The sequence below is a fragment of the Homo sapiens genome, chromosome 21 (genome assembly GCF_000001405.40).
Source record: "Homo sapiens chromosome 21, GRCh38.p14 Primary Assembly".
NCBI lineage: Eukaryota > Metazoa > Chordata > Mammalia > Primates > Hominidae > Homo > Homo sapiens.
Genome location: NC_000021.9, coordinates 42,646,873 through 42,671,723, shown reverse-complemented (window position 1 = coordinate 42,671,723; position 24,851 = coordinate 42,646,873). Strand labels below are relative to the sequence as shown.

General features: G+C 55.5%; 1 protein-coding gene and 1 long non-coding RNA gene across 25 annotated transcripts in view, besides 6 other annotated features; one reads left to right on the top strand and one right to left on the bottom strand.

Annotated features, from left to right (window-relative positions):
- PDE9A (phosphodiesterase 9A) overlaps nucleotides 1-18,103 on the bottom strand; it is a 121,889-nt gene extending 103,786 nt beyond the window's left edge. For all 23 annotated transcript variants that reach the window (NM_001315533.2, NM_001001570.2, NM_002606.3 and 20 more), the window contains exon 1: nucleotides 17,841-18,103. Coding sequence is in view for 14 of the 23 variants with exons in the window: in NM_001001570.2 (NP_001001570.1) it covers nucleotides 17,841-17,909 (69 nt within the window). In the remaining 9 variants the exon portion in view is untranslated. The remainder of the gene's footprint in view (nucleotides 1-17,840) is intronic.
- Nucleotides 1,793-2,738: an enhancer, noted in NCBI's record as "NANOG-H3K27ac-H3K4me1 hESC enhancer chr21:44089096-44090041 (GRCh37/hg19 assembly coordinates)". NCBI's record gives its function as "activates a minimal SCP1, AML or CMV promoter by ChIP-STARR-seq in naive and primed H9 embryonic stem cells {active_cell/tissue: H9 hESC(naive and primed)}" and the evidence as "EXISTENCE:reporter gene assay evidence [ECO:0000049][PMID:30033119]".
- Nucleotides 2,739-3,685: an enhancer, noted in NCBI's record as "H3K27ac-H3K4me1 hESC enhancer chr21:44088149-44089095 (GRCh37/hg19 assembly coordinates)". NCBI's record gives its function as "activates a minimal SCP1, AML or CMV promoter by ChIP-STARR-seq in naive H9 embryonic stem cells {active_cell/tissue: H9 hESC(naive)}" and the evidence as "EXISTENCE:reporter gene assay evidence [ECO:0000049][PMID:30033119]".
- Nucleotides 5,181-5,687: an enhancer, noted in NCBI's record as "H3K27ac-H3K4me1 hESC enhancer chr21:44086147-44086653 (GRCh37/hg19 assembly coordinates)". NCBI's record gives its function as "activates a minimal SCP1, AML or CMV promoter by ChIP-STARR-seq in naive H9 embryonic stem cells {active_cell/tissue: H9 hESC(naive)}" and the evidence as "EXISTENCE:reporter gene assay evidence [ECO:0000049][PMID:30033119]".
- Nucleotides 9,444-10,313: an enhancer, noted in NCBI's record as "H3K4me1 hESC enhancer chr21:44081521-44082390 (GRCh37/hg19 assembly coordinates)". NCBI's record gives its function as "activates a minimal SCP1, AML or CMV promoter by ChIP-STARR-seq in naive H9 embryonic stem cells {active_cell/tissue: H9 hESC(naive)}" and the evidence as "EXISTENCE:reporter gene assay evidence [ECO:0000049][PMID:30033119]".
- Nucleotides 11,703-11,872: an enhancer, noted in NCBI's record as "active region_18529". NCBI's record gives its function as "activates an Ori minimal core promoter by ATAC-STARR-seq in GM12878 lymphoblastoid cells {active_cell/tissue: GM12878}" and the evidence as "EXISTENCE:reporter gene assay evidence [ECO:0000049][PMID:35858748]".
- On the top strand, nucleotides 18,066-24,565 carry LOC101928255 (uncharacterized). Of its 2 annotated transcripts, XR_007067879.1 has the most exons (4): nucleotides 18,202-19,213; nucleotides 19,900-20,134; nucleotides 20,984-21,160; nucleotides 21,281-24,565. It is a non-coding gene; the product is annotated as an uncharacterized LOC101928255 (long non-coding RNA). The 2 variants fall into 2 exon arrangements; XR_244322.4 differs by having other exon boundaries at nucleotides 18,066-20,134.
- Nucleotides 18,418-19,139: an enhancer, noted in NCBI's record as "H3K4me1 hESC enhancer chr21:44072695-44073416 (GRCh37/hg19 assembly coordinates)". NCBI's record gives its function as "activates a minimal SCP1, AML or CMV promoter by ChIP-STARR-seq in primed H9 embryonic stem cells {active_cell/tissue: H9 hESC(primed)}" and the evidence as "EXISTENCE:reporter gene assay evidence [ECO:0000049][PMID:30033119]".
- Nucleotides 24,566-24,851: the final 286 nt, after the last annotated feature.

The window sequence follows — 24,851 nt, the reverse complement described above, 5'->3', positions numbered from 1 at the left end:
CCAAGAAATAAATATGCGTTCACTGAAGAAACATTGCAAGTTATCTATGAATCATCTGTCAATCAATCTATATCAATCATCTGTCCATCCATCTGTCTGTGTACATCTGCAATTCATCTGCAATTTACCTCTAGTTACAAATTATATATATACACATTTGGACATATTGTTCATTTTGTTTGGTCTCTTGTTTTTAGAATACTTAACAGTAAAGTCACACTCAGAATGGATTACAGTTAACCGCCAGACAATCACTGCTTCTCTATTTGCTAAAATAAAATCTGTATTCAGCCTCATTTCCTTTTCCAGTTTAGGAGATATTTTTCAGGTCCTTGCATTTGAAAAAGAATATACAACAACGACAGAAATTACCATGGATTCCCATGTGCCAGAGGCATTTAAAATGTTATTTAAAAAACAAAACAAAACACTTCCCTGTTATGGAAATGCTCAGACGTACACAAGAGCAGGAGGAAAGCGTCATGAAGCCTCCGCTGCACACCCACAGCTTCAACACCTGTCCCCACGCCTCCCCTCCTGCTTGAACTGGGCCCCAACCTCCCCAGCACCGGAGTTATCCTAAAGCTCCTCTCAGGTATCGTGCTAGTCCATCTGCACTGTTTCCACGCGGTTCTCTGGAGTAGAACGCTTCCTTTGTGGTTAAGATAACCACAATGTAATTAGTACATGGAGAAAAAATTAACAACAGTCTCACATCATCTCTCAGCTTGTCATACATCTGTATCTCTAAGTCATGGTTTAAGGATCAAAGATAACATGTGTTCAGGAAATACATGGCAAGAAAAGGGATGGGAAGTATAACTAGAGACCTCAGGAGACACCAAGCAAATGCAGGGTGTGGGCTGTGCTAGGATCCTGACTTGAAAACTAATGCATCCGTGTGTGTGTGAATGTATGTGTGAGTGAATGTATGTATATGTGTGTCAGAGTGTATGTGCGTGTGAATGTGAGTGTATGTGTGTGAATGTGGGTGTATGTGACTGTGAGTGTAAGTGTATGTGTGAGTGTGTGAGCATGTGTGTGAATGCATGTGTATGTGTGTATGTGTGTGAATGATAGTTTGTAAGTGTATGTGTGTGTGAATGTGATAGTGTGTGAGTGCATGTGTAAGTGTATGCGTGTATGTGGTGTGTGTATGTGTGAATGTGTGGGTAAGTGTACGTGAGTGTGAATGTGTGATTGCCTGTGTGTGTGAAGGTGTGAGTGCGTGTGTAAGTGTATGTGTGTAAGTCTATGTGCAAGTCTGTGTGACTGTGTATAAGTGTATGTGTGACTGTAAGTGCGTGTGAATGTATGTGTGAATGTTTGTGAATGTAAATGTGAATGTGTGTGAATGTGTGTGTGGATGTGTGTGTAAATGTATGTGAATGTGTGTGAATGTGAGTGTGGTGTCTAAGTGTATGTGTGTGAATGTGTATGTGTGAATGTGTGAATATGTGTGTGAATGTATGTATGTGTATGAGTGTGAATGTAAGTGTATGTGTGTGAATGTAAGTGTATGTGTGTGAATGTGTGTAAGTGTATGTGTGCGTGTGAATGTGTGTGCGTGTGAATGTGTGTGTAAGCATGTGTGAGCCTGTGAATGTGTGTAAGCATATGTGTGAGTGTATGAGAATGTGTGTAAGTATGTGAGTGTGTGAATGTGTAAGTGTGTGTGTGTGAAGGTGAAACATGGTGCTTTCCTTTTATTGCCATGCATCTGTTGAAGCACCCACATTATCTTGGATCCTTAAAGCACACCTTGAAGGTGATGCTGGCATGCCCACCTGGTGCCAGGGCTGGCCTCTCTCTAGAAGGCACGGTCACACTGGGCTGTGTGTGCAGGTTCCCGGGCTCAATTCCAGCTCTGTCCCTCATTATCCGTGGCTGTGGGCAAGTTCCTGAACCTCTTCATTCCGTGCTGAGCAGCAGCATGGAGACCACACCAGGAGCCTCTATGAGACACTCGGCTCTCCGGGATGCGGTGACTTAACTCCGCTGGGCAGATTCTATCCCCATGTCACTGATGTTGAAACTGAGGCCCGAGAACATACAGCCAGCATGTGCCATTGCTGGGTTCCAGCCTCAGTCTGCTGATTCCAGGGCCCCAGATGAACCGCCAAGTGGGGTGTGGGTTGTCATTTTGACGCCGAGGCTCCGAAGCATGCCATGGCCTCCCAAGGTTCATCTCCTAATTTAATGTCCCTTCTCTTGGGCCCCGCACACAGGAACCTTCAATAAATGTCTGTTAAGTGGAAGGATTTGAGGGGCACGTTTGCCTAACATGGCATGAGTTAATCCAATTCAAATGTGGAGTGAAACTCAGTGGGAAGGAGAGAGACATCTAAGACCCCGCAGGCAGGGGAGGCGGGGATGTCAACAACAAACAGAAAGGTGGTGTGATGCGGCCGCAATTCCCAAACTGCTGGCAGCCACCAGCAGCTGGAAGAGGCAAGGAAGGGAATCTCCGGGGGAGCCTCTAGAGGGAGCGCGGCCCTGCCCACACCTGGATTTCAGCCCAGCGATTCAGATTTTGGACTCCATCCTCCAGAGCTGCGAGATAATCCGTTTCTGTTGTTTTAAGCTGTGGCATTTATGGCCATTTGCTACAGCGGCCCTGGTCTCTGTTCTAAGAGGGGTGGAATCTTTTTCGCAAGCAATGGGAGTCCTTGATACCGGGTGGGCCTCAGCGCGTGTATGCAATGGGGGAAACTTCAGGAGGGGATGGTGAAGGAGGCATTAACGAGGGGAGACACGGAGGGCTCAGCCGCTGGCCAGAGGCTGCAGAGGGAGTTGATGTGGCCCGCGTGGGACGTGGCGGGGGGTGGAGGGAGCAGCTCTGATAATCCGTGGGGAATTCCTCTCCCGACGGAGGATGTTCATGCGCAGGACACGGCTACCCAGACCGTCTGAACAGCCCTCCAGGTCACGCTCAGAGCTGCCTGGCCTGACGGTGGGATTTCAGGGCCCATTTCCCCCGCGCCGGCATCTGCGCGGATCCCGGGCCTCCGCACAGGGCTCATTTGTCATGACTGCTGTGCTCATCACTCTTGTCATTTTTCTGCGTAGCTTCGCTTTTGTTTTCCTCACTGCTAGTGTCTGAGGCCAATCTCCACTGTTATAAATAATGGATCACAGGGGACTGAAAATGCAAAAATCGACGAACCAAAAGAACAGGAAGTGTGCTGAGATGGAGCTCTGCACACAGGACTCTCACGGGGCATTTCTGAAGGCCTCTCGCCAGTTGCAATCTGCTTGACTCCTGGATACGCGGTTCAAGCTCGAAGCAACTCTCGCTGCATGAACATGACCCTTCCGCCACCCCCTCTCTGGGGCCTCACCCTTGTCTTGTCTTAATAATTCATGCTCACTTCTCCCAGGGCCTCTGTCTGTCTCTGCTGCATCAGGACTCCGAGTGGGAGCTAATGCAACCCTTCCCTGGAATCTGGGCTCCCTGGACCCTGGGGATGGCAGGAATGGGGAGGGTGGGGTAGGAGGTGCTCGGGGGACCCAGGCGGCAGCCCCTCTGGAGGATCACTGGGGGAGAGGACCTTCTCTCAGCACGCAGCCCCTTCGAGCCCAGTTTCAAGGCAGTATGTGAGAATGGTGTGGCTGGACATGGGTGAAAAGATTTAGAGGAAACCATGGGAAAGGGACACCCCAGCGGGGAGGCAGGGGAAGGCAGACAGGAGTGGAATCCTTTTTGTGCACCCCTCTCTCCAACTTCGACCCAGAGAGCTTGGATGTCTTGGTAAGCCGGCATCGCCCATTCCATCATCATCATTTCCAAGTGGGAATGGGATAAGGGAGGGGAGATTCCACTAGAACTGCAGGGGGGAAAGGGCGGTTCATCAAAGCAGAAACACACGTCCTGTGCTGGGTCCCTTGAGAAGGGCCAAGTGGGTCCCAGTCAGGACTGCAGGGGGTCCTGGACCAAACAGCAGGGGGTCGGGAGGAGGGAACTTGCCACGGGTTTCTAGGGAAGTGGTGGCTGCCAGTCCTTTCAAGAAGGCCCAGCAAGGCTTTTGGAATAAAGGTAATGCCTGGTTCTTGCAAGAGGCCTGTTGTGATCCGAACTTGCATAAAACCCAAAAACCTGCAACTCCTGTGAGCGGAGACAGTCCAAGACCATCTGAGAAGCAGGCCAAGTGCTTTCATTCTTCCTGGTTCATCTTCCCTCCCTCCTCACCACTCTCTTCCTTTGTTTCAAGAGAACAAAACAAACATACTGGGCAGGCAACTGGGAGGGAGGGGTGTGTTTCTATTCAAAACTCTTTTTCATGCCACCTGCCAAATAGAATTCTAAATCCTCCTTTAAAAAAAACTGTGCCCCATCCATGAAGTCGAGTAGTTTAAGAACTGTGGCCACGTCAGCACCCTGTTCCCTGGTCTGTACTTGCTGGGGTATGTCTCCCTTTTGAAAATCAGTATATTGTCTCTCTGTTTTCCATGGATTTGGTGTCTGAATGGATAGGCTTATGGGCTGCTAGAAGTTGGACCCCCTCATCCAACTTCCTCATTGTGATCTCCAGCCAACCTCCTCAAACTGGTCATGTGGTTGGCCAGGCTGCAAAGCATGTTGGGGTTGTTTGCTGTTTCGCCAGCATGGCCCTTCACCCCTGGCTGGAGGACAAAGAAGCAGTCTGTGTACAGGGAGTGAATGGGCAGTTGGGACCAGGCGCCTCAACATGCTGGGGTTGGGGCGGGGGGGAGTGGGGACAGCCTGGAGCCCGGGAGGGCGAGTCGGCGGTCACCAGGCGCGGGACCTTGGTGCCGCCTTTCAACCTTTTGGGCTGCGATGCTCTCTTTGGTGACCCAATGTCGTTCTGGATCCCTCCTGCTTTCCCACATTAGGGTTACAAAGGCCAGAAGATGGGGAAGGGAGAGGTCATTCCCACTTCCCAAAGCGGGTGCTATGGACTGAACTGTGTCCCGTCAAAATTCATGCTGTAGTTCTGACCCCAGCACTTCACGATATGACCTTATTTGGAGACCGGGCCTTTAAAATGAGATGTCCTTGTAAAACGAGGCGCCGAGGACACAGACATGCAGAGGCTCGGCCCTGCATGGACACGGGGAGGAGGTGCCAGCCCAGGAGAGGCCTCAGGAACCAGCCCTGCTGCAGCCTGACCTGGGAATTCGGCCTTCAGACCGCGAGGGCCTTGGTGTCTGCTGTGGAGGCCGCCGGGCCTGTGGTCCTTTGTGACGCCGGATGCACACGGGGGAGTGCAGCCCTCACAAAGCTGAGACGGAGCTGCGGGTGGGGCCTCGGCACCTTCAGGACCTGCTCTGCGCTCCTGCTGGGTCCCAGCTGCTGAGTCAGATGGGCTCATCCAGAAACAAGCCAGCTGCCCTCCCTCCTTCCCCACAGCCTCACACTTGGGAGGCGGGGAGACTTCAGAAGTGCTTTGGTGCCAGCCCTGCCCCTGGCAGCTCCAGCTGAGATCCTCGTCGACAAGGAGAACCCAAGTCCAAGGACAGCAAGAAGGGCCTTCTGGAGCTGATAGCCACGCCCTTCCGGCTGCAGCCACGCCCTTTCTTGATGACCACGCCCACTGCACGAATGACCACGCCCTCTCGGTTGTGGCCACGCCCACTGCACTGGTGGCCACGCCCCCACCCCAGGGCTGCTTTCCCCTTTGATAAAGAACATCTTTTTAGATGTCAGGGCCTGAAGGCCCTTGGGGAAGGTGAGCCTGTTCTTTAGGGCCCCAGGAAGGCAGCGTTTCCTGTGCTTAGGACTCCCTTCTCACGGTCCACACTGCCTCCCCAACTGACTTCAACGGGGCCTCATGGCGCAGAGGTGCCCAGGGGAGCATCAGGAGCTTGAGGGATAGACGGTGGAGCCACGCGGGAGAAGCTTCATCCCTGGCCCAGCCGAGCAACGCCCTCTCACGGGTGAGCTGCATGCATCCATTGTTCATTATTCAACAACTGTTACTGGTTCTCGTGCCAGTCTCTGGGCAGGGGCAGGGTTGGAAGGTGAGTGACTTGATCCTGGGCTCCAAGGGTGCCTGGTGAGGAGTTATTACAGTGCAGAGAGGCACCTGCACGCGACACATCCGGCTTCCTAGGAGCGGGGACATTCAGCAAGGGCCGGCCAGGGCAGGGAAGGCCGGGAGCTGTAGGAGCAGAGCAAGGTCGGGGGTGGCCACCAAGGCTGGAGCCAGATGTCCAGGTTCCAACACTGCTGGCCTGTGGGAGCCCAGGTGACAAGATCACAGGGACCCTGTGGGCTTTGGTGAGCTCCCTTGGGCAGGGTGTAGCCAGGGGTCTCTGGGTGGGGGAGGAGGACCAGAGGGCAGGTTGAACGGTCTTCTAAGAGCCAACCAGTCCCTCAGAGGGCCAGGATGGGGGTGGACAAGGCAACCCCCTGAGTGTCCTGGGGCTGCTATAACAAAGACCACAAACTGGGTGACATGAAACCACAGAGGTTTATCTCTCTTGGCTCCGGAGGCCTGAAGCCTGAGCTCGAGGCATGGGCGGGGCTGGCTCCTTCCCAGGACTCCAGGGAGGAGGCTTGCCTCTTCCAGCTTCTAGGGGCTGCCCGCAGAGCCTGGCTTGTACATGCATCACTCTGGTCTCTGAGTCTGTCTTTACATGGCCTGATTCTGTCTCTACGTCTTCCGTTCTCATTTCCATGGACAAATGTGTGTCTGCCTTTCCCTCTCCTTAGAAGGATGGCGGGCATATGGGCTTGAGGCCCATCCCAATGCAGTATGACCTCATCTTGATGTGATTATGTCTGCAAATACCCTATTTCCAACTAACGGGACATTCACAGGTTAGCACAGAAATCCACTTTTTTGGGAGACACAATTCAACTCACAGCAGTGACCATGAGTGGATGAACAGAGGTCAATGGCAGGACGTGGTGACAGTGCAGGCGGGCGGAAGTCGAGAGGAAACTGAGTCTCTCGCAAGGCCGACCCGGCCGTGTGTACCCAAATAGGAGGCATCAGATAAGAGTGGTGAGTGAAGTTGGTGATGGGGGGAGCTACAGAAGCCTTGGGGGCTTCCATTCGGATGGGAATGGAACCCCCTCCCTCCCTCCCTTCCTTTCCCTCCTCTTTCCTTGCCTTTTGATTGCCTTGGAATTTCATTAGAAAATGAAGCACAAATTTCCTGCCAGAAAAGAAATGTCTCTGAGTGCTGGCACCGGGGCCTTGCGCTGGTCCAGTTTGCTCCAGGTCTGCTTTGGTGGCCAGGGTCACCTTTATGCCCTTTCTGCTTTGTGTCCATGCAGAGGCCAGCCCGGAAAGCAGGTAGAACCCCTCGCTGGCCTCCTGCCTCATCTGCTGCAACTGTCTCCCTGGATCTGGGCTCCTACTCAATGCAGCAGCACCATCAGGAGCGGCTGCCACTGTGATGTGTCATCACCTGCAGGTGGCACGTCCCTGTGCCAGGCTGAGACTGGCACTTTGTGACCAACGTGCCCCGTGTCATCAGCCCTGTGTCATGCTGCGAGGTGAGGCACCATTGCCCACTGAGCCGAACACAAAGACTCCCTCTTGGCCTCGCTATTTTTAGTTTGATGCCTTGGGCTCACAGCAGTTGGCTGGAGTCACTAAACCCCCAGCTTTCTCTTCCAGAAGCCAAGCCTGGCACTCCGAGGGGCAGGTGGGAGCTGGAGATGCCTCGAGAAGCCCCTTTGGCATCTGGACCCGACTCGGCCCCGGGCCGTCCTCTGGGGGCTCTCTGATCCATTGTCTGAGGACACATGGTGGACTCACCACAGGGACTGAGGCTGAATCACAAACTCCAGACCCCAGCAAGGACCTGGAGCATCCTGGGTGTCCTGGCATCCAGCTGATGACCTCAGCCATCAACACCTGGGAGATTCCAGAGTCCTGGATGCTGAGAGGCCTGGGCTTTAGGGCAAGGCCTGGGAGGGGAGGTGCTGGGCAGACGACTACCTGGAAGAAATAGGATGGGGCCTGGCATGCTTCAGTGGGGCCTCAGTGTGGAGTGTGACACAGCGCTGAGGGACATGGGGCAGGCTGGTCACACAGTGCTGGTCTCAGCCTGGCATGAGGACATACTGCTGCAAGTGACGGCACATCACGGTGGCACCCCGCCCCCAAGAGTCGGGCTGCATGACCGCAGGGTGGGAAGACGGGGGGCACTGCCAGGCCTGTCTGCTGTGGGCTCAGCCCATACCCTCCAAGCTCAACCACTTCAAACCTCATCACATCGGGCAATGAGATAAGGGGCTTCACCCTTCCGGCACGTATAGGAGGCAAGCCCCACTGTGACTCTGCGAAGACGGGTGCCTTCTGCCCTCCCTCCGAGCTGTGTGGCCACCTGCCTCGTCCCCACTCAACTCCTGAAACCCCCAGGGGCTCTGCTGACTTCTCTGTCATCTTCATACTGTGCGTGTGTGGTGTGTGTGCATGTGTGTGATGTGTGCGCGGTGTGTATGTATGTGTGTGATGTGCCTGTGTGGTGTTTGTGATGTGCTTGTGTGTGGTGTGTGTGCATGTGTGTGATATGCATGTGTGGTAGGTGCGTGCATGTGTGTGGTGGGTGTGGTGCATGTGGATGTGTGTGATGTGTGTGTGATGTATATGCAGGTGTGTGATGTGCATGTGTGGTGTGTGCATGTGTGTGATGTGCGTGTATGTGGTGTGCATTCTTGTGTGTGATGTGCATGTGTGTAAGTGTGGTGTGTGCATGTATGTGATGTGCATGTGTGTGATATGTGCGTGTGTGTGGTGTGCGTGTGTGTGGTGTGTGTTCTTGTGTGTGAGGCGCGTGGCGTGTGCATGTGATGTGCGTGTGCGTGGTGTGCATGTGTGTGATGTGCATGTGCATGGTGTGTGTGGTGTGTTTTTGTGTGTGCTGTGTGTGGTGTGTACGTGTGTGATGTGCATGTGTGTGGTGTGTGGTGGGTGTGTGCGTGTGTGTGCGTGTGTGTGGTGTGTGTGTGCTTGGTGTGTGTGTGTGGTGTGTGTCCTTGTGTGTGGTGTGCGTTCTTGTGTGTGATGTGCCTGGTGTGTACAAGTGTGTGATGTGCGTGTGCATGGTGTGTGCATGTGTGTGCAGTGCGTGTGCGTGGTGTGTGTGTGCATGGTGTGGGATGTGCGTGTGTGTGGTGTGTGGTGTGTGTGGTGTGTGTGCATGTGTATGATGTGCGTGTGCTTGGTGTGTGTGGTGTGCTTGTGTGTGATGTGCATGGTGTGTACGTGTGTGGTGTGTGTGCATGGTGTGTGCGTGTGTGTGATGTGCATGTGCATGGTGTGTGTGTGTGGTGGGTGTGTGCGTGTATATGTGTGTATGTACCATAGTCCTCCATCCCTCTGCAACAGTCGGAAGGGGCATGGAGGGCATCTTTCTGCCCCTTCCTTCGGTGAGGAAACAGGTAGGGGGAGGGTGGATGGGAGCTAACCTGGGAAGCAGAGCTGTGAGGTGAGCTGGCCCTTCACGCACGCCCGGACACGGCACCGTGCTGGGGACGATAGTGGGAGGCACAGGGACCACTTGACAACCTGGGGGGGTGGCGCCCGGGTCTCCACCAGGCACTGAGATTAGACTGCCTTAAATCCATGACATGGATAAATAAATAATAAACAAACAAAAATGATAACACTTATATAGCATTTACCAAGTGCCAGTGTGTTCTAGCATTTGACGCGTATTAGCCCACTTAATCTTCCAAAAACTTCCCCCCACTTCACAGAGACACTGAGGCACAGAGAGGGTGAATGACTTGCCCCAGGGAGGCCACACAGCTGCTGGGCTCAAGCGCAGACAAATGACAAATCGGCCCCATCTGCGCTCTCCACCAGGGCTGGTAGCTGAGCTCCGTGGAGCGGAACCTGGCGCATCTGTCTTCCCTGGGCAGCCCCCTACCCTTCCGCTGCGACGCATCACAGGCTGTACACAGGCTACACCACAGACATGCACACAGCTTCGCAAAGCAGCACAGCCATGACTCAAGACGTGGAGAGGCCTTCGGGAACTCACAAAGTTTTTCAGAAGATGCAACAATAAACCCATCACAACAGGCCGGCCCTTTGCAAACTGAAGAACTAAGAATGAAAATGACTGAGGCTTTAAAAATATCAGGCAGTTTCATCGATTCATCCGTTTTGAATGGAAACACAAAATGTGGTCCACGCACACAATGGAATACCGCTCGGCCTTAAAAAGGCAGGAAATTCGGACACGTGCTACAACATGGATGCACCTGAGGGCATGATCCGAGTGAAGGAGGCCAGGCACAGCAGGGCGATCCTGTGTGATTCCACTTCTGTGAGGTCCCCGCACTCAGCAGTTTCATGGAGATAGAAAGCGGAATGTACAGTGGGGGTCAGGGGCTGGGGGAGGGGGATGGGGAGGGAGGGTTTATTGTTCATATATTTTACCACAATTTAAAATTAAAAAAAAAAAAAAGGCTGGGCGTGGTGGCTCACGCCTATAATCCCAGCACTTTGGGAGGCTGAGGCGGGCGGATCACATGGTCAGGAGTTCGAGACCAGCCTGGTCAAGGTGCTGAAACCCCGTCTCTACTAAAAATAAAAAATTAGCCGGGCCTGGTGGCAGGCGCCTGTAGTCCCAGCTACTCCGGAGGCTGAGGCAGGAGAATTCCTTGAACCTGGGAGGCGGAGGTTGCAGTGAGCCGAGATCACGCCACTGCACTCTAGCCTGGGCGACAGAGCGAGACTCCATCTCAAAAAAAAAAAAAAATTGGCAGAGAATCTAAAGCAAACGGAATAAAATGCTGTGGTTCTTCTTTTAGTTGTTTCTAGACCGAGTTTTCAGGGGTACTGCGGGTTTCTGTTCAGGGCCAATGCTCCCGTTGCGTGACCAGCTTCGGGATTTGGGGAGATGTGGTCAGGGTGAGGGGGGAGACAGGCAGTCAGGGATGGGTTCAAGACAAATAAGTTGCACCCTCAAGTGAAAATATTTCTTTTTGAGCTTGAAAATGTTGGGAGCCACCCCTGGGTGGCTGAGTGCACTGGGCGTCCCTGGTGCCCATGGCATGACTGTGCCCGCAGTGCCAGGAATACAGGCATGCGCTCCTCCAACTCCTGCAGATGGACCCTTGCTTGTGCACTTTCTATTTTTAACCATTTTAATCTTTTTTTTTTTTTTTAATTCCAATAGTGTTTGGGGAAGGGGTGGTGTTTGGTTACATGGGTAAGTTCTTTAGTGGTGATTTCTGAGATTCTGGTGCACTGTCACCCGAGCGGTGTACACGGTACCCAGAGCGTGGTCTTTCATCCACCACCCTGTGCACTTTCTTAGAACATTTTCTTCTCAAAAATATTTGGACCCCTGGAAATGCAAGCACCCAACTGGCCTTGGTCTCAACCTCCACAAGCCAGGCACTGACTCGCAAACTGCCTTCTCTGCGAGCCGTCCCTGCAGGCCCCGCACCTGCTCCTGGAAGCTGGAGGGATCCTGAGCTCAGGGTGGGTTTGTCTGGGGAGAAAGCCAAGGAGTGCAGACACGCTTTGTCTGGGGCAGGCCCAGCTATCGGGCTGTGCCGTCTGGTCTCTGGGGGCTCTCTGGGCCCTTCTTGCCCAAAACCTTCTGAAATTTCCCAGGAGTGCGGCTTGCTGGGTCACCTGCACCCAGGGGAGCAGGTGATTGGGTGAGAGAGGGTTCAGGGTTGCCCACCACCCCCTGGGAAGCAAGCCCAGGACTGGGCTACCGGGCCCAGCCTCTCAGGAAGTCTTGGCCCCCTGGGGCCCAGTTCCTGCCGCCTCCCTGCCCGGCTTATGCCCCGAGGTGTCCCAGTTGCTGCACTGAGATCAGCTGCCCGGCTCGTCCCCGTTTCATCTCTCATTTGCATGTCAGTTCATCTGAGGCGTCTGACGGGGACAGTGTGCCCTTCCTCTGCGCTAGATTTACCTCGCTGACAACGAGAGCTGTCTTTTGCCCATTTCTGAGGCCAGACAGCCCCTCCACCCACACTGAGCTCCGGAGAGGCTGGCTGGAAGACGAAGGTGCGGGCTGTGGGACCTGGGCTCATGGGGCCTGTGGTTCTGGCTCCTTCTTCATGGGAGCCTGTGGTTCTAGCTCACAGTGGACTCGGGGAGTGACAAGACAAGTGACAGGAAGGTGCTGCCACTGCTGCTTCCAGAGTCTTCCGGGCTGATGGGTCCAGGATGAGAGAAGCGTCATGGGGGCTATGCTGTGCCCAGGCCTGAGGGCAAGGGTGGCATTCCTGAGCCTCCCCACATGCCCTGCCCTGCTCTGGAAACTTCACCCCATTGCTCCGCGTGGACTGCACAGTGAGCCTCCACTTCCCTGGGGAGAAAGTGATTTTGCCCAGGCCTCCCGGCTGGCAAGTGGGAAAGGCGGATGAGGCGAGGCTGTCCGTCTCAGCACCATGTCCCCACCACTCTATGGGACCAGCCCTCCTGGATTCCCAGATTGGGCGGCATTGGTTTAGTCTGAGAGGTTTCCAGGTCATTCATGGAAATTCCTGATGGCGTCAGGTGGGCTTCTGGCTTCCAGCTGTCCCCTCCTGGGCCTCTGGACATTGGAAATGTCTGGCTAAAGGGGAATTCGGACCACACCAATGGGAAGGAGTGTGGAGGCCAGCAGCTCCCTGACTTTTCGGCACCCTTGGGCTAAAATTGGGAAGGGCCCAGTTTCCTGTGCCCTCTCCGAGACAGCACCTGCTGTAGCTCTCAAGTGGTCAGGCACTTCATGGCTGATTGCTGGTTGAAAAAGGAACCAAAAACCGAGGGTTCTTACTACTTTTCACAGCCCAGCTTCAATTCAGGTGGAGACAGGGGAGTCGTCCCCAGCCAGGGGTCAGGACAGCAATAAGGCTGGCAACTCTCATTGCTCCCTGTCCCTCCACCACCGCCACCCCCTCCATTCATACACTGGAAACCCCAAAAGGGTGTGACTGACCCCCTTCCTTCAGCAGATTTTCTTGGTTCAGTGAACTTACAGTACCATTTTTATACCAATTTAAAGGTCAAAAGTTACAAACATGTAACAGGCAGACAGATGATAGGCTGGAAGTGGAGAGGATGGCGAGGAGAGCCGCCGTCCACCTGGGAAGGAGGGCGCAGACAGTGGTGCTGGAGCCGAGAAACCTGGAGAGGAGTCAGTGTGGCCGGGGGACGCAGCCCTGCACAATTGAGCAGAGATGCCTGCAGCCACAGGAAAGGGCACTGCGCGTGTGGGCTGAGCAGCCCATGCCTTCTAAAATGAAAGGAGGTTTGCATTTGACCATGTCGTGGGCAGGAGAGGGGAAAGGCACGCAGGAGCCGGGTAGGGCTTAAGGCCCCACCATGCTAACCACACCAGACAAGGTTGGGGCAGTGCACTCCTCTCCCCTGAGGAGCTGGGGGAAACAGCAGCTCATGCTTGTGCCAAAGCAAGAAATGAAGGCAGAGGGGCCTGAACAGGACAGATCAGTAGAACCAGGCAGCAGGGAGCGACATTCCCTTGGGCCAGGACCACAGACCACCCCAGCAGGGTGCAGAGGCCTGGACTCCAAGCACTGCGGGGAGGACCTGAGCCAAAAAGGCACAGCTCTGGGGCCCGCAGAGGTTGGCCTTGGGTGCCAGGACCAGGCTGGGTGGAAGCATCACGAGAAGGCCTGGGCAGACCCCACCAGCTGCCCAGGGCACGGAGCCCTGGGCTCCCGCATGTGAAGGGGGCAGGCATAGGTCGGGTGGAGGCAAGCGTAGGTGTGGCGTAGCCACGGTGGGTGGCAAACTATTAAGAACTGGGAGCCGACTTCTGCGGACGCTTGAACACTTTCTAGCGCGGCTCCTCCCTTTGGGCTGTGCGCATTCACTGCTCTGGTTTACAGTAGAAACAGCCCCGCAAACTCAAGCGGCCACCGATGTGTTCAGACCTGGGTTCCAGCTGCAGAGCAAGGCCAAGACCAGAACACCACAGCCCAGAGGCGCCAGGGAGGCCGCGCACAGTGCGAGTGTCCCGAGGGGGCCGCCAGGTCAGGGCAGTGGCACCACAGAGGCCCCGGAGCATTCAGTCTTGCCCAGATGTGGCTCCTCACCACACCCGAGCCCACAGCCTGGCCCAGGGGTCCCAAAGGCCTCTCTCTTCCCCGATTCGGAAGATTGGCAAACCCAAGCCTGGATGTGCCACCAGGTGGGACCCCCTCCAGCTCCCCAGTGCTGAGTGCGTCGTCCCTGTCACTCCATGGGCAGCTCAGCTGAGCAAACCCTTTCTCCATAGGCAAGAGAAAGGAGCAGGTGCTGCAGCCAGGGCCCCCCAGGGTAGGGGCAGCTGAGGAAAGGAAAAAACGAATCCTCTGGGGAAAGACGAAGCGCTTCAGCTCCTAGAGGACACAGTCTCTCTGAAGCAAGGACCTCAGCACCCTAGGTTTGGGGACCTGGCTTCCACCTCTCCCCTTCTTTAACAGCCCACCTGAGGGTCTAGACACGGGGTTGGGGGTGACAGGAGGGCTTCACCTGGTGCTGGGGAAGTGCCAAGTCCTGATCTGTGCACCCTGGCAAGCCAAGGAACAGATGACGGGAACAGGCCGGTGCAGATGCTGCTGGCTGGGTGGAGGCTGTCCCCAGCCCTTCAGCAGCTTCTCACCAGGCCATCCTCATGGCTACCAGTTCTGCACAAAGGGCTCCTTCCCCACAAAGCCCACAAAGCCTGCAAAGCCGATCGTCAGGGAAAAAAACCTGTTCATCAGGCCCCACACGGGGCTGGCCCACCCAGCCTGCAACGTCTGCTGCTGTTTATCATTTGTAGTTGCCTTCCCATTCCGCCAGCACTCAGCTTCCCATGGACCCCAGCACTCAGCACATAGTAGATGCTCAATAAACACGGCGGGCTCATTGACCAGGCAATCTGCCTTATCCCATTTAATTATTAGCACAGCAGCACAGGGGCACAGAGTGAAGTAACTGACCCAAGGTTCTCGAGATGAGAGGGGAGCACTGAAAACGGAGCCTCAGTTGGACTCCAGGGCACAGAGTCCTGCCTTCGTGTAGGGCTCAGGAGGCAACCTCCGACTCACTTCACACGCCCAGCTTCCTCTGCACAACCTCTGAAGGAAAAGCTCCTGAGGAGGGAAGACAATCCCCCAAATTCCTGTTGCTGACTCCCACTGTGTCACTCTGGTGATGTGACACCTGTGCGTGTCTGGAGTTTTCTTCATATAAATAAAGCATTGGCCTGGCGCCAAGTGGCTGCAGCGGCTCCTCTGAATCACTGGGCATGTCTGCAGGGTTACCTGCACAGGTAAGGCCAAGCCAGGAGACACCGGCACTTGCTGCCCGGGGCCTCCCTCAGACAACTTCAGATTGTCAACCTGGAGCTTTGCCGGAGCACAGAACTCGGCAGAACCCCCAGTTTCTAATGTTCCCTCCTTCCTCCCCGTCTCTGCGGTCTCAGGGGGAAACTGAGATGGCCAGGGGTCAGGTAACCAGAGGGACAAAGAGCAGAGATAACGAAGGGGCGGGTGTGCCCATCGCCAGGACTCATGGCCAGGTGGTGCCGACGAACACAGTGACGGAAAGCAACACATCCCTTATCTCCTGCACCCAGTGACCCCCAGGGCTCCCTCCTAGGAAGCAACATGGGTTTGTTTCCATGACCTTTGATGGAGAGGAGATGGGGCGGATGGCAGGGAGACAGATTCACGCTGGAAATTCCAGGATTTACCCAGTGCCTGGTACTTTAAGAGAAGGAATGGCGGCTGATGGCAGCGGCACTGAAAGTGCTCTCAGCTGAGCCCGGTGCAACCCATCCGTGACAGCACTGCTGGGTGTGCAGCCTGGGAGGTGAGCGAGAAGTTATCATGCTTTGCCCGGCACATGGCTTGGGCAAACGATTCAGCTTCAACCAGGACTCACAGTCCAGCTAGGAGCTTCCAACGGGGTTCACAGCAAGGGGCAGAGGGCGGGGGCAGCTCAGGAGCAAGCAACAGACCTCGTGGAGATGGGGGGCGGGGTGGGGGTTGGAGACCCGTCTGGCGCCTCCCTGTTTGCACCACAAAAGGACGTTTATGGAAGGAACTGAGGGAAGAATAATGCTCATCGTGTTCTGCAGTGTTCCAGGCAGTGTTTACATTCACTCATTCCCTTCTCATTCCAGTCTATAAAGCAGATTTTATTATCCCTTCTTTATGGACGGGGATGCCAGCTTGGGGAGCCCAGGGGCTTGCTCGTGGTACAGGAAGTGGTAGAGCTGGCAGTCAATCCGCCTCTCCCCCGCAAAGGTGCCACATGCCATGTCTTCCCCAGGGCCCACCTGCAGGCTGCTTTTCTGGAGATCACCCCAACCTCAGCGTGTCCACTGTGAAAAGCTACCCTGCCCACAATAACAGCCTGGCCTGCCATGCCCAGCGTCCTCCTCCCACCCCTCCTGAAGCTCTCCTCCACTTTTCACCTGCTTCCAAGAGAGCTGCTCCCGGGACATCTTTAGGAAGTTCTTAGGACGGACCTGCTACTGTTGATCTGGTGACAACTCACTTTAAAAAGACTTTTGCTTTTAAAGGCAGGTCTTTGATACATTCTCATCTATCGGGCAGAAAAAGTGTGTGTGCATGTGCCTATGTGGTGTGCATGTCTGTGTGCTCATGTGCACGTGTGTGTATGCACGTGTGTGCGTGTGTGTGTTTGTGAGTGGATGTGTGAGCATTGGAGCATGTGTGTGTGTGTGTGAGTGTGCATGCTGGTGCAGTGACATATTCAAGGGAGGGCCACTCCTTCCTTTGGGGAGAAAGGAGGCTGTTACAGTCCCATGCAATTGCAGACGCCTAGTCCTGGAGTCAGGGACCTGGGTCTAGTTGTGCGTCTGCCGCTGCCCAGCTGCCCAGCTGCCCAGCACTGATTAAATAAGGGGGTGACCACCTGTCCTTGAAGATGCTTCCTCCTCCCGGTTATCTGAGTCTCTCAAAGCGGGCTACGGTGGGAGAGGGCTGTACTTTCCATTTCACGGGGATCAAGCCGGGCACAGGGTGAGGGAGGCTTGTTGGCTTAAATCTACTGATTAAACTGGCCAAATGCACCTCTGGGAACAGGAAAGACTCAAGCCTGGCCGGCACCTGCTCTGTGCCTGGCTGGGGCATCTCTCCCTGGCCTCCTTCAGTGGAGTACTCCGTGGGCAGAAAGGTGAGAAGCAGCTGCAAGGGCTTCCTGAAACGCCCAGCTGAGGTTTGAGGGATTTCCTCACAATGGCTTTTCCCTGGGGACTTTAGGGGGAGCTCATGAGAGCCCCTTCCAAGCCGGCGCGCTCATTGTCCCTCCCTGCCCGTCAGAGGGGGCCACGAACAAAGGGGGTCTATTCTGAACCCCTCTCCCGTGTAACTCAAGTCCGCTAGGAACGCTGGACATTCGAGGGACTTCCTATCTCCGCACAGCAGGGGAGAGCCGGACCCGCTGCCCCCCAGGCTCTCCGCGGGGCCCCGGAGGTGCAGCGGCCCGAGTCCCCCTCTGCAGTCGGAGCTACTCACCTGCGGGGGAGCAGTGTCCCCGCCGGCGCCCCCCGCACCTGCCCCCGCGCGACAGGAAGCGGCGGCTGCTCGCCCCCTCCGCGGACCACGACCCCGGGGCTGCCCGGCGGGCCGATCCACCGGAAATTAAAGGCTTCATGTGCCAGCCCTTGAATGTAAAAACTCAGCCTAATCAGATTTTCAAAAAGAAAAGCTCTGCCTGTGAAACGGAAACACTAGCCCGCCCCCCCACCCCCCACCCCCCAGGGCGAGTCGCCCCTTTCCCCGGGGAGCCGGCGCGTGGGGACCCCCGCCCCCGACCAGAGCTGGCGGAGCGCACGGAGGCCGCAGCCTGGACCGGCAGACGCACGGACAGTCCCGCCCCGCCGCGCCCGGCCCCGGCGCTGTCACCCGGGGGGAGGAGGGGGTGTCTGGGTGGGGGAGGGGCTACCTTCTGAATGCGTCCATCGATGTCCAGGTAGATGGCCTTGGGCCGGTAGCTGGAGGAGCCGGATCCCATCCTGCGCCCGGCGGCTGCACTCGGACTTTTTACTGTACTTTCCCGACGCCAGCCGCCGCGGGAGGCGGGGGAGGGGAGCAGGGGAGGGGGCGGGCGGGGGGCGGCCCGCGGCGCTCAGCCAACCACAGCCGCGCCGCCACCGGGCCCGGGACGCCCGGGAGCCGCCGCCGCGCGCCGCAGGGTCTCCTCCGCTCGGCTCGCGCTCGGGCTCGGGCTCCGACTCCGGCTCGCGCGCTCCTCCTCCCGGCCGCCCGCCCGCCCCTCCCCCTCCCCCCTCCCCCCTCCCTCCCCCGTCTCTCCTCTCTCCCCTCCTCTTCACTCCCTGCACCTCCCTTCCCCCTCTTTCTTCTTCCCTTGACTCCAGCCCCCGGTCGGCTGCCTATCTCCCGATGCCCCCTGGACAGCTGTGCAGAGCCCTGAGCGACCCCTTCGGCCCGGAGCCGTCGCCTCCCCACGCAGCCCGTCCCTCCTAAGCCAGCGCTGGGCTGAGCGTGGCCGCGCCGCTGTGGACCCCCCAGCCCCGCCGGGAAAACTCCCCTCGCTCCTCTCTCCCTGCTGCGACCGCCACCCTCATTTCATTTGAATAGAAAACGGGAAAAGTTCCTTCTCGGTCACCCACAGCCTTCCCCTAACTAGGGGGCGTCAGCCTCCTCCAGCTGCGCCCGGAGCTGAAATGGCGATTTTATTTCTGTCCTGTATGGGGCCGGACCGAGGATTACCCCGCCACAAGCTATCTGCTGGATTCAGCAGTTTCGTCCCCTCCCCGCTTGTGTGAATTGCTACAGGGAGTGTGGGAAAGGCGGGAGGGGAAGGGGGCTGTGGGCATCCTCTGGATCTGCGGAGCAGGGAAGGGCTGCCTTGGCCGCCCCCAGTTCTCCTGGGCTCCTCCATTGGGAATGGGGTTGGCGGCTGGGGGAGGAGGCTCAGATGCCGTGGTCCTGGCCCTGGGTGCAGGTCGCCTTTGGAAGCAAGTGTCAAAGCCAGCCGGAGCATGTGCTATTGTTTCGTTGGAAGTGAGTTCCAAGCCACCGCTTTCCATCTGTTAAGTGTCTGGGTGCTGCTTATTGAGAGAGTCTGGTGCACCCAGGCTCCTCCCTCCCCTTCGGGCCTGCTGGAGCCGGCCAGCCAGTGCCAGGGCCAGTGGTCACTTCCTCTCCCTCCCCTGGCCAGCCTGGTCTCCACCTGGTGGACGGTCACAGGCTTTACAGACACCCCCAGGGCCATCTGGAGCTCTGGTGGCAGCTGGGGTCCTGGGGAAGGTGAGAGCTCCTTGCCTGTCCGTGGGGGTGGCATCATCCTGTGAGGTAAGTGATCGTCCTCAGCCTTTGGCCAGTCCATCCTGTGTCACTTTATGTCCCCCCACCTGCTCTCATGGCGGGGGGCACGCTCTCAAATAACAACGGCTTGGAACTCGGTACCTTGGCACCCCCTGCCCACAGCTCCAGTGGAGTCCGTGTCAGAGCTTTGGCACCATGAGTTGTGCTTTTCAAGTGACAGGATGAGAAGGGGACAGCCTGGAGGCCTTTGGGGTGGGGAGACCCAGCTGGGTGGTTACAGCGGGCCAGCTGACTCGCCATGGGGATACTGTGTCCCCGGCTCATTGAAGTGAGCACTATTACTAGTAGTTCAATTTGTTGTCAAATGTTCCGATGCTATTTGGGCTAATCCAGAGATCGTGCTGTTGGGACCGCCTGTGCTGCCTGGCATGGAGTTCTTACCAGCAGATGGCTCATTGGCTTGGCACTTAGTTATTCTCCATCCCTTATTGTCATCTGGCCTAGTCTTCTGTAACCATTTCCTCCAAGAGCCCCAGAAGGACGAGTGCCCGCCCATGGGGGGTGGTTCTGCAGGGCAGTTCCCCAGGAGGGTGGAGGGTGTGGCTCTGAGACTCTGTGTGCGTCCAGCACCAGTGCAGGCTGGCCCCTCACACTGCCTGGCTGATTCTGTGCTCAGGAGAATAATCGCATCTATAATTACTTTGCACTTTTAGGAGCTGGACTGGACCCCTGTGTAGATACTGGATCGATGAGGCCTCAGCAGCTGCCTAGAGAGGAACCCTTTCCTCTCCCAGATCCCCATGGAGCAGTGCGGTCTTCCATTCGTCAACAATCTCATTACTGCGTGTTGGGTGCTGTTCTGGGCACTGGGAATTCAGTAGTGAACAGAATAAGCAGAGATCCCTGGCCTGAAGAAGCTGGCATTCTCTGGGGAAGACAGACACGATGGTATAAATAAATAGAATGTGTAGGGTGTTGGATAAAAATTAAGGCAAAGAAGAAAAATCCATAGTGAGACCCCATCTCTAAAAAAGAAAAATCCTGCGGGGAAGGGGATATAGAATGTGCAGTGTGAGGGAATGTGCAGTGTGAGGGAGTTGGAATTTTAGAGAAAGTGGCCAGGCAAAAGGTCACATAGGAGGAGGGATCTTACAGGTGTTAGGAGCAAGGAGCCTGTGTGTGTCAGAGGGAAGGACGTTCTGGCACAGAAGCAGCCTTATGCAGGAGGCCACGTGGCCAGAGCGGAGGGAGGGAGTGGGCTGTGGGGGACCGTAGTGGGCTGTGAGGTCAGAGAGGTGACGGGGGCAACCCCGCGTGGTCACACGAGTGACTTGAGGTCACTCTTCCTCCACTGCATGCCTTGCAGGAGGCGGTGCAGAGGGCCATGGTCTGACGTGGGTTTTCACAGGATCCTCTTGGATGCTGGAGGAGGGTGCATGGAAGGGGCCAGGCAGGGAGGCCAGTGAGCAGCAGCTGCAGTCAGCTTTGCAAAGTGTGATGGGACTTGGACCACGGTCAGGTGGACCCATGAGTTGGGGTCCTTCAGAGAAGCAGACCAATAGTGAGGAGTTGGCTCACATGAGGACGGAGGCTGAGAAGTCCTGCCAGCTACCGCCTGCAAGCCGGAGCCCCGGGAAAGCTGGTGGTGTGGCTCCAGTGCAAGCCTGAGGGCAGCACCCGGGAGCTGATGGTGGGGACCCAGTCCCAGGGCAGGAGAAGGCCAGTGTCCCAGCCCAAGCAGGCAGGTGGGAGGAAAGAGGCAAGTTCCTCCTTCCTCTGCCTTCTTGTTCTCTTCAGCCCTTCAAGGGGTTGCATGATCCCATGCACACAGGGAGGCATCTGCTCGCCACAGTCCACCACTGCAAACGCTGGTCTCAGCCAGAGGCACCTCACAGACTCCCCCAGAAACAGCGCATCCCCAGCTATTGGGCATCCCGGGCTGGCCAGGTGGACACACAGACCTCACCAGTGCAGGTAGTGAGGAATGGTTGACTCCGCATCCAAGTTGGAGGTTGTGGGGTCTTCATTTGTGCCTATTTCCTAGGTGGGCATTATGCCTATTCTCTGCCTTCCTTCCCCTGGCTCTGCCTGCAGTCATGCTCGTTGGTCCTGAACAGCCTTGGTGGGGAAGGTTCCAGAAGTGGCGCCTGCTCTGTGCCCCCCACATCAGCCCCAGGGTCTCCTGGTATCCTAAACCTACATCCCTGCTCCTGGCCCGGCTGTCGGGAATGCAGCCAATGTTCGTTCCTCAGAATCAAGATAAAAACGAAGGGAACCTCCTGCCTCTGCCAGGCAGGCCGCAGGCCAGGCTGGGGACCCCGGGTGGGGTCGAGGCTGGGGAGCCTGGGTGGGGATGAGGCTGGGGACCCTGGGTAGGGTCGAGGCTGGCCACCCTGGGTGGGGTCGAGGCTGGGGACCCTGGGTGGGGACGAGGCTGGAGACCCTGGCTGGGGTCGAGGCTGGGGACCCTGGGTGGGGTTGAGGCTGGGGACCTTGGGTGGGGATGAGGCTGGGGACCCTTGGGGGGACGAGGCTGGGGACGCTGGCTGGGGTCGAATGCCTCCTCAGCTCAGGCCTTGGGTCTTTGGGGAACGTGGTGACTGAGTTCATATATGCATGAGCGACGTTTCCAACTGTCTGGAAACTTCAGACAGAGTGTGAGATTCTGCCCGTGTGTCACAGGGAAGGAGGCTGGAGATGGAGGAGATTCTGGAGGTACCAAGCCCCCGCGCTCCCAAGAGCCGAGTGGGTCCAGCCTCTGCCTCCACTCTCTGCCCAGACTGCACTTTCTTCTGGTACCTTCCAGGGTGCACACAGGCTCATTCCTGTATGCAGAGCTCCCTCTTTAATTCCCAAAAAGATCACACCAAAGGAGAGTTTCAAATTAGGGCATCAGAGCCAAATTGAAGATTGGAGGAGCTGAGTCCGGAAGAAGGGCCAAGACTGCGGAGTGAGGAGCTGGTTGCTGGTTCCCAGGTCCCTGGCCAGCTCACCGTCTCCAGCAAGAAAGGGACAAGCGAAGGCACATGAGGAGAAGAGAAGGGTCTGGCCTATCCTTGAAGAGTGATCACCTTCCCACGAGATTGGAATACTGGGAAGGAAAGTCCGAGCACCCCGGGAAAGTCTAAAGGGGGTTCCCAAAGGCAAAAGAAGGTGTCCAGGCAGCGTGTCCTGCCACGGCCAGCAGCTCCCAGCATGTGCTCTAGCCGTCCTGGCCTGGCGGGTCAGAGCCATGGTCAGTGGCAGCTACTGAACCATTGCCCGTGGGCATCATCTGCCTGTTCTCTCTTGGGTCTAACCAGCATTTCTCGTGACTATTCTGAAAAGACTCCAGTCACTTCCTCCACCACCTCTTCCGAGCTGGGGGTGGTGCAGGGGGTTGGGGAAAAATCAGTTCATCAAACAAGCAAAATGTATTCAGCGCCTGCTTGCTGTAGACCAGGCACTGGGCAGGGCTTGTGAAACGGAATTGGAGCCCTCTGGACCCTGGAAACCTTATGGGAGAGAGTTAAAATAAATCAGACAGGCAGAGGTAAGGCACTTTACCTTCCGAAAGGTGCACCATTGAACACCAAGAGGAATCAGCCTGTCTTGTACGTGTATAATGAACCTGCCACGACGAGCTCTTCAGGATAACCACTGGGCGGGATGCACCAAGAATCAGAGAAAGGGGGTGCCCTTTGACCTGAAGAGGCTGGCATTCTCTGGGGGAGACCGACAAGATGGGATCAATAAATAGACGGGCAGATGGTCTGCCCTTGACTTTTGTGCAAAAGGAGAAGACACTGGCACAAAGATCTCACTTCCGTGTCTGTTGTAGTAGTATTTGATTTATATACCCTCCACCTGTTTCTTTTTATGGTCTTGGTAATTGCAAAATTATTACTAGTTGTAAATATTTCAAACAATGTGGTAGAAAAGGCAAAGTCCCTCTTCTAGTAGAGAAAATGGAGGCCGGGCACAGTGGCTCATGCCTGTAATCCCAGCACTTTGGGAGGCCGAGGAGGGCAGATCACAAGGTCAAGAGATTGAGACCATCCTGGCCAACATGGCGAAACTACATCTCTACTAAAAATACAAAAATTAGCTGGGCGTGGTGGCGCGTCCCTGTAGTCCCAGCTACTCGGGAGGCTGAGGTAGGAGAATCACTTGAACCTGGGAGGTGGAGGTTGCAGTGAGCCGAGATCGTGCCATTGCACTCCAGCCTGGGCGACAAGAGTGAAATTCCACCTCAAAAAAAAAAACAAAAACAAAAACAAAAAGAAAATGGAGACCCACCCCTTCTCACCATGGACCAGCAGGCCCCTGATGCCTGTGTGCTTCCGACTCCTGGCCAGCTCCTCGTGTGATGGGCGTTTGGATTTTCCCAATATGTTGTTGTTGTAAACAGTGTGAACGAACACCCATATCCATATCCTTTGTTGGTTGTGTTGCTATTCTTCAGAATTGATTTTTGGAAGTAAGATTTATGGGTAAAAGTGTTTTTTTGTTTTTGAGATGGAGTCTCGCTCTGTTGCTCAGGCTTGAGTGCAATGGGGCCATCTCGGCTCACTGCAACCTTCACTTCCTGGGTTCAAGTGATTCTCCTGGCTCAGCCTCCCCGAGTAGCTGGGATTACAGGCATCTGCCACCATGCCCAGTTAATTTATGTATTTTTAGTAGGGACGGGGTTTCACCATGTTGGTCAGGCTGGTCTTGAACTCTTGACCTCAGGTGATCCTCCTGCCTGGGCCTCCCAAAGTGCTGGGATTACAAGCGTGAGCCACTGCGCCTGGCCAAAAGTGTGTTTTTTACACCTTTGTGTGCTAGTAAAAGCATATTTACATTATTTTGCCAAATTGCCCTCTGAATTGGTTATACCAATTTATTATACTCCCATCATCATAACACGAGAGGATCCTTTCACCACACTTTCAACAAAGTAAGAGAGACTTAGTCTTGTTTATTTTTTCCAGTGTAGGGAGGGAAGGATCTTGTTTTGATTTTCATTTCTGTGTTTATAAGCGAGACAAGATGTTGCTTGTGTCTACTACCTGCTTGTGTCTTGCCAGTGAATTCATATTCTTTGCCCTTTTTTCCATTTTAACATCTTCTTCTTATTGATTTTTACAAGCGCCGTCTATGTAAAGGATAGTAACCCATTGGCTGTTATGTATTTTGCAACTATTTTCTCCAAGTCTGTGGCTTGTCTTTTAACTTTCCTCATGTAAGTAATCAAAACTGTGCCACTTTTCCTGTAGGTATTCTGGGTTTCTCATCAGCCCAGAAAGGAGGCATCATTTATAATAGAAAATTAAAATGAAAAAAGTAAGAAAGAAGTGACCTAGATTTCCCCAGGTTGGGAAAGGAAACTGGCATGCTTACAGAGGGGAGCATTGAGGACGGTGACTATGACGAGGGGACAGAGGCCGAGGGAGAGGCTTCTGCCACGTCTGGTGACTGCAGAGACGGCAGGGGCATTTGCACGCTGGCCGCCTGTCCATGTGCACCCACGGCCCACTTGTTGAGTGCATGCCACCTGCAGGCCTGGCCATCCACCCGCGCACAGAGCCGCCCCGCCCCACTGAGCTTGCACGCCAGCATCAGGCTTTGTGAAATCCAGCAGAGTTGAAATGATTTGGGATATGAAGTGTTTAGAGTGGTGGGATTCTAGGCTTTTTAAAAA